Here is a 7399-nt window from a genome sequence, read left to right on the forward strand (position 1 = left end):
TGGCATACAGAGTTAGGTATACAAATCTGGGGTTCAGGGAAACAGTAAGAGTTGGAGATATAAATTTGTGAGTAATCAGTACACAGGTGAATCTATGTGCAGAGATACTCTCATAGGAAAAAAGAAATCTATTTGTTTTTAGTGAAGCACATAAAGAAAGCAGAAGACTGGGCAGTGGATGAGCAGAAACATATAAGTTTAGAAACATGAATTAAGCTGCATTGACTAATCAATATGTTGGGAATAGCAAGGAAAGAGAAGAGGATAGGCACGCTCAAGAGTGCTCCTGGGTTACAATAAGCTTGGACAGCAGGGATAGTGGCCACCTCCGGGGAACACTTGTAGTCAGTGGCATGTTTAGCATACTTGACACCCAGAGGGGATCACTTTTTAATACTTCTGTCCTTTATATAAAAAAATCATTTTCAGTAATAATTATGTAATGATTACTAATAGAGCTAATTATTATTTTTGATTCATTCTCTGGTATTAAAACAAAAAAATTAACTATCAGAAAGGATAAATTTTAATTTTAAATATATCATTTAAATTCAGTACAATATTTTACATATGAACTAAAATTTGCACTTACCAAACAAAAATATACCTCACAGTTTGCACTGTTTCAATATAAATTTTAAACACAATTAAACTTCACATAATCATATAGAATGATCAAATGGCTCTGTAATTCAAGTTGGTTTAATTTGTCTTTACAATCACTGGGCTACATTATTTCTTTAGAATCTACTGTTTAAAGGCAGGAATATGTAATAGCACAGGGATTGGAGACAAACCTTTAGAAACAAACTTGGGTATTGAATTGTTATGCTCTTACTTTAGAAATGAAGGTGTGTAGCTGAGGCCAAGTATGTTGGGGCCAACTGTATAACTGGAAGTTCTCTGAATTAATTTTCATGTAGAACACAATGTTTATTAAAATATAAATAATAAAAATGTACTAAGTTGAAGTTTACATATATATTGTTAAAACTCAACAGTAATCACAGCAATTGTTTAGAACTTCAATTCACAATGTTTTGGGGGAGGAATATTTTACCATTGATATTACTTAGAATTGCCATGCATGGTGATAATGAAAAGCAGATTAACTTTTATAGGCTTTATTATTGCTTTTGAATTCTCTATGGATAATGCACCCTGCTTCTAGCCAGCGTCGCCACCCTTGGTAGTCGCTGCTGATGGTATAAGGACATTGCCTGGGATTAGTCATTCTCTCATAGAGCTTCTGCCTCAGCATTCTTGGAAAATGTTCAGAAAAACCCTATACAGGGAGAAGAAAGAAAGGTTTTTTTACTTCCAAAATTTGTAGATAAACCCAGTGGAGACTGTTAAACATTCTCCTTTCCCTTAGAGCTACCTTCTTCCTAAGACTGCACTCCTCTCCCAACGACCTAACTGTGGAGGTAACTGTAATTGTCCATAATGCAGGATGTTCAGGGAAGGTGTCTCAGAAAAGATAACAATGACCTTTTAAATCTTATTTCCTTTCCCCCATTCGATTCTCCACTGATTATTTTGTATTTCATTTAATTTTATACACATAAAGTTTGAGAAGTTGTTAGCATAGGGCTCCAGCTGAAAAAGAAAAAAAAAAAAAGAGGGACCATAAACCCGGGTATGGGCAACTGGGAAAGGTAAAGGCAGAGAAGCTGGAGATGAAGCTAACAGGCTCATCTGTTTCAGGCTAAGCTAAGGCACAGATGTGACCATGTCCTATGACTAAGTCCTGTGACTTCTCATACATGGGAGCAGAGGGCTTCAGCATAGAATGTGGAATTCTGAAGGTGCATAAGACAATCCATTGGCTTAGAAGTTAATATCAAAGCTTCTGTTTTTATTTAGTTTTTCATTAAACATTTTCTATTTTTGTATGTTTTATCATGAACATAATGTGTTATTATATATCTCTAGTTCATTAATTACATTTGAATATAGGTTGAATTTTTTTAACTCATGATGTATCTGGAAAAAAAGGAGACCAAAAAATAAGTTTCCAGAATGTTTTTGGCTAGAATTGAGGAACTCTCTGATGTGGCATTGAAGGGCTGATCATTTTTTATATTCTACAGAAATGAATCTTGTTGATTCCTATACTTTAGATACTACACAATAAATTAGTCAAATTGATATAAGACATAAAAATTGAGAATCCAGATTTGTTTTCTCATTCAGAGAGGAAGCTGACCTACCCCTGAATGGAGATTAGCCATAGGTTCTCTTGGTGACAGAATAAAATGTCCCCAAGAAATGATGTTGGAATCTGGGCAAGGGTTGTATAAAACCTGATTAAGACCCAGAGTTCTGCATCATCAAGCAGAGAAAAAAAAAATGGGTTTGTAAAACTCGACGAGCTGATGCTTTCAATTAGCTGTGAAACCATAAAGGATCCTTACCCATCAAGATTTCAATCAGGTACAAGTCTGTTAAAGAAGAAGATTGCATTCCAGTCGCAAAAGGAGTGCCCTAGGGTGGCTGAGTGGATTGATGCGTCCAGTATTATTGCTTCTTAGAATGCTGGAAAATGTCTATAAAGGCAACAGTTTTGTTCCTGGCAGTATTCATTGTAAAGTTACTTATGGTAATACTTGGCTAACTGGTTCAGCTGTTAGATGTGCACAAAAGCAGAGGTGAGAGATAGAGATACTCGGTGGAGAATGATTACAAGAAGGAACACTGGGGAAGGGATAATGAGAGAGGAGAGTTGGGAGAAGGAGAGAATGGAGAAAGGAGGTAAAAAGAAAGAGAAAAGTGTGGTGGAGGCTAGAGAAGCCACAGGCCCTTGCACTTTCCTTGAAGAGCAGTGTTTCAGGCTGGGTGCGGTGGCTCACGCCTGTAATCCCTACAATTTGAGAGGCCAAGGTGGGTGGGTAGCCTGAGGTCAGGAGTTCAAGACCAGCCTGGCCAACATGATGAAACCCCGTCTCTACTAAAAATACAAAAAAATTAGCTGAGCATGGTGGCACATGCCTGTTATCCCAACTACTCAGGAGGCTGAGGCAGGAGAATCACTTGAACCCTGGAGGCGGAGGTTGCAGTGAGCTGAGATCGCACCACTGCACTCCAGCCTGGGAAACAAGAGCAAAACTCCATCTCAAAAAAAAAAACAAAAAAAGAGTAGTGTTTCAGTAAAGTGGTTTAAGGGCAACATAGACAATCCCTGCATTAGTAGATTCACCTGGGGATCACCTGTCAGGGCAGTCATCCTAGCTCAGTGCGCTTTTCCCCACTTGGCATCTGTGTGTAGGTTAAAAAGAAGCCACAGAGGATCCCAGGGTTCTGATTCAGGAAGGGGATGGGTCTAGATGGAGATTGCCAGGAATCCCTATGAAAGAGTACAGACCCGCAGAAACTGCTAGAGGAGGGAATAAAAGGTAATGGGCTATCAAAATGCCTTTTGGTAGTATCATTCCTGCCATATTTTTATGAGCAGACACTCAATTGTTTGACTCTCCAATCAGTGCTTTTTGAAAGAGACTTCCTTTGTCTGCCAGTGAAATGCTCCATGGGTCATAACTCAGTTTAGGAGCCATGTGCCCTTTATTTCTCTAATGTTTTAAGAGGATACCTGAACTGATTAGGGACATTTTATATATTTATATATACATAATTTTATTTTATATATAATATAAATTACATATATAAATTGTATTTATATATAAGTATATACATGTAAATTTTATTTATACATAAATATAAATATATTCAAATATATAAATATAAATTTTATATATATATACACACACACACAAATTACAATCATGCATTGCTTCACGGTGGGGATGCATTCTGAGAAATGTAAGTTAGGCAGTTTCATCATTGTGCAAACATCACAAACTTACCCAAACCTAGATGTCGTGGCTCACTGCATACCTGGGCTATATGATGTAGCCTATTGTTCCTGGCTACAAACCTGTATAGCATGTTACTCATACTGAATCCTGGAGGCAACTGTAACACAATGGTAAGTATCTGTGTATCTAAACTTAGGAAAGGTACAGTAACAATACAGTAGAAAAGATTTAAAAAATGGTACACCTGTAGAGGGCACTTACCATGAATGAAGCTTGCGAAACTGAAAGTTGTTCTAGGAGAGTAAATAGAAAGTGAATATGGGCCGGCGCGGTGGCTCAAGCCTGTAATCCCAGCACTTTGGGAGGCCGAGGCGGGCGGATCACAAGGTAAGGAGATCGAGACCATCCTGGCTAACACGGTGAAACCCCGTCTCTACTAAAAATACAAAAAAGTAGCTGGGCGTGGTGGCGGGCGCCTGTAGTCCCAGCTACTCGGGAGGCTGAGGCAGGAGAATGGCGTGAACCCGGGAGGCGGAGCTTGCAGTGAGCCGAGATCATGCCACTGGACTCCAGCCTGGGTGAAAGAGCGAGACTCTGTCTCAAAAAAAAAAAAAAAAAAAAAAGTGAATATGAAAGCATGAAAGCCTAGGACATTACTATACACTACTGTAGACTTTATAAACACTGGAAACTTAAGTTATACTAAATTTATTTTTTAAATTCTTCAATAATAAATTTTAGCCTGCTATGACTTTTTTACTTTACAAACTTTTATATTCTTTTAAACTTTTTGACTCTTTTGTAATAGCACTTAGCTTAAAATAAAATCACATTGTACAGCTGTACACAAATATTTTCTTTCTGTATATCCTTACTATATATGCTTTTTCTATTTTTCAAATTTTTAATTTCTTTTTTACTTTTTAAACTTTTTTGGTTAAAAACAAAGACACCAATACAGACATTAGCCTATGCCTACACAGGGAGCAGATAGTATCATGTATTTCACCTCCACATCCTATCCCACTGGAAGGTCTTCAGGGACAATAACATGCATTGAGCTGTCATTTTCTATGATAACAATGTCTTCTGGAATTCTTCCTGAAGGACCTGCCTGAGGCTGCTTTACAGCTAACTTAAAAAAAAAAATTAAGTAGAAGAAATACACTCTAAAATAATGATGAAAGTATAGTAGAGAAAATATATAAACCAGTGACATGGTCATTTATTATCATTATCAAGTATTATGTACTGCACTTAATTGTATGTGTTCTATATAGCTGGCAGCACAGTAGGTTTCTTTACACCAGCATCACCAGAAACATGTGAGCAATGTGTTGTGCATGGGCGGAGGGGAGAGAGAGACAGAGAGAGAGAGAGAGAGAGAGAAGAAGGAGAGTGAGAGAGGAAGAAAGAGCGAGTGAGGGAGAGAAAGTCCATAACAAAATTGACTTACATACATTGTAATGATGTTGTTGTTTGGCAGGGTAATTGGGTATACATGGTAAGCAATTAACATAATTAATAAATATGACTTTCCAGAGTAATATTTATTAATTTTTGGTTTTTGGTTGTTGCTTTCTATGTATGGACACTTATGAAGTGTCCATGTTGATAGTATTTTCTGATACCAGGTGTTATCTCATTTTCATTATAATCACTGAATCAGATGTAACTGATATATCATCTTCCCATGTAACTAGGAATAGAAAATGGAATTGGGGGAATACCTGAATACTCTTTTGATTTGCTGTGCTCTTATAATTTCTGGATACTGACCTGTTCACTCAGGGGAGGGTTTGTAAAGTGGTCAAAGAGATTTCTGGAAGAAAAGGGATAGAGACTCCAACACATTTCACTTTGAAGTTCATATTTTTTAGAATCTTATGTTTAGAATAAGACTTTATAGCATTGAGATACTTAACACTCAAAGTCTGAGGATTGAGATGGTACTGTTTGTGTTCTGTTAACACAAATGGACACCAAGATCTCCGACTGGGGACACATAACAAAGGATGAGGGAGTCTAGACTGGGAGACCTGGGCTCATCACCAGGAATTAGTCTCACTATGGAAGACTGGTTCTGGCAAATCCTGTGACCAAGCCTAAAATCCTCATTGGTATTGATCATGATTTGATAGCCAATATAACTTAGGCAGTTCTGTAATAGAGGGTGCTTGTTAAACTACGCATTGGAAAAAAGGCACAATTCTAACTTGTTCATTCTTAGTAGTGAGACAAACTTAATGCCATACATGACTTAAAGTTTAAGGATTATTGGAGTCTCGCTGCAGCACATCATAGGGTCATAGCTCTCATGGTTAGATACCATAAGTTTTCTCTTCCGTGCCTAGTTGTTTGTTTATTTTCCCTAATGCTTTACTAAATTTTAAGTTACCTGAGAGCAAGAATTATTTCTCAATTATTTTCTATATCTCCAGCACCCACCAATAGCTAGCACATGGCAGGTGCCAATAGTTGTTGGTTGGTTGAATACGTGAATAAATGAATGTTGGCTTAAAATCTTTTATCTTTTTGGTCCTACCCCTGCTTTAACTTGAGGATAAAGTAGAGTCTCTCGTGCTGCCAAAGTGCACAATAAGGAATGAGGACCTTTTGTCAGTTTTTCAGGGACAGTCTCTGAGCTTGTGTTAAAAAGTTTCCACCCTGGAAACTTCAGATACAGGAATAATGAGTTGCCAAAGACTCCCTCCCTCAGTGCCAATAACGCAAGAGCTTTGCTGAGAGCCAGATAAGGGTCTCTTTGAAGCCATCTGCAGATACATTGGGGAAGTTGTGCTCTTCCTATGAAGAAAAGCCACATACATACAAAAGCATACTTGCTATCTATTCACCGATCCATTGCTGAACCACTGCAGCCTCCAGTCACAAGTCTTTCTTACAAAACACACTATACCACCATGACAGTCAGAGAGGTTCCATTTAAACCTCTGAAGTAATAATTTCAAGCTCCTTGGTAAATCAAGCGTCAAGCTAGATTTGAGGTAGGAGGTGAAACTCAACTCTGAAGATGGGGCTTGAACTCCGACGAGATTGAAGACACTAGCTGAAACAGGGAAGAGGCAAAAGCACCTCTCCCTAAGACATGCCTGCCAGTGCCATGGCTGTTTACCATTGCCATGCACACCCAAAACTTACCACCCCTTTCCATGGCAATGACCTGAAAGTACCACCCTTTTCTGGAAAATTCTGAGTAACTTATCCCTTAATTTGCATCCTATTGGCACTGAGGGAGGGAATCTTTGGCAACATTCTCAAGTCTCAGAGTTTTCTTACCCAGTGGGATCTCCAGAGGTAGAGGAGAGGAAGGGCTCCCTACTGTTTTGGAAAATATTCTCAAAACCTTTGTTTATTGCCCAGAGAACTGAGAAAGTACTCAGGAATACTACACAGAAATGTTACAAAGTTCTCTGTTAACTCTCTCCTCTGAAGTCTGTATGGGGAAATTTCCAAGAAATCTTCCCAAAGCTTTTTCTTCTAGTGATCCACATATCATTACAGGAATGAAAACTTGAAGATGAGGTCCATGAGCCTGTATCTCAGGCATCAACCTAAATTCCGTA

The sequence above is a fragment of the Homo sapiens genome, chromosome 3 (assembly GCF_000001405.40).
Source record: "Homo sapiens chromosome 3, GRCh38.p14 Primary Assembly".
In the NCBI taxonomy this organism is placed as follows: domain Eukaryota; kingdom Metazoa; phylum Chordata; class Mammalia; order Primates; family Hominidae; genus Homo; species Homo sapiens.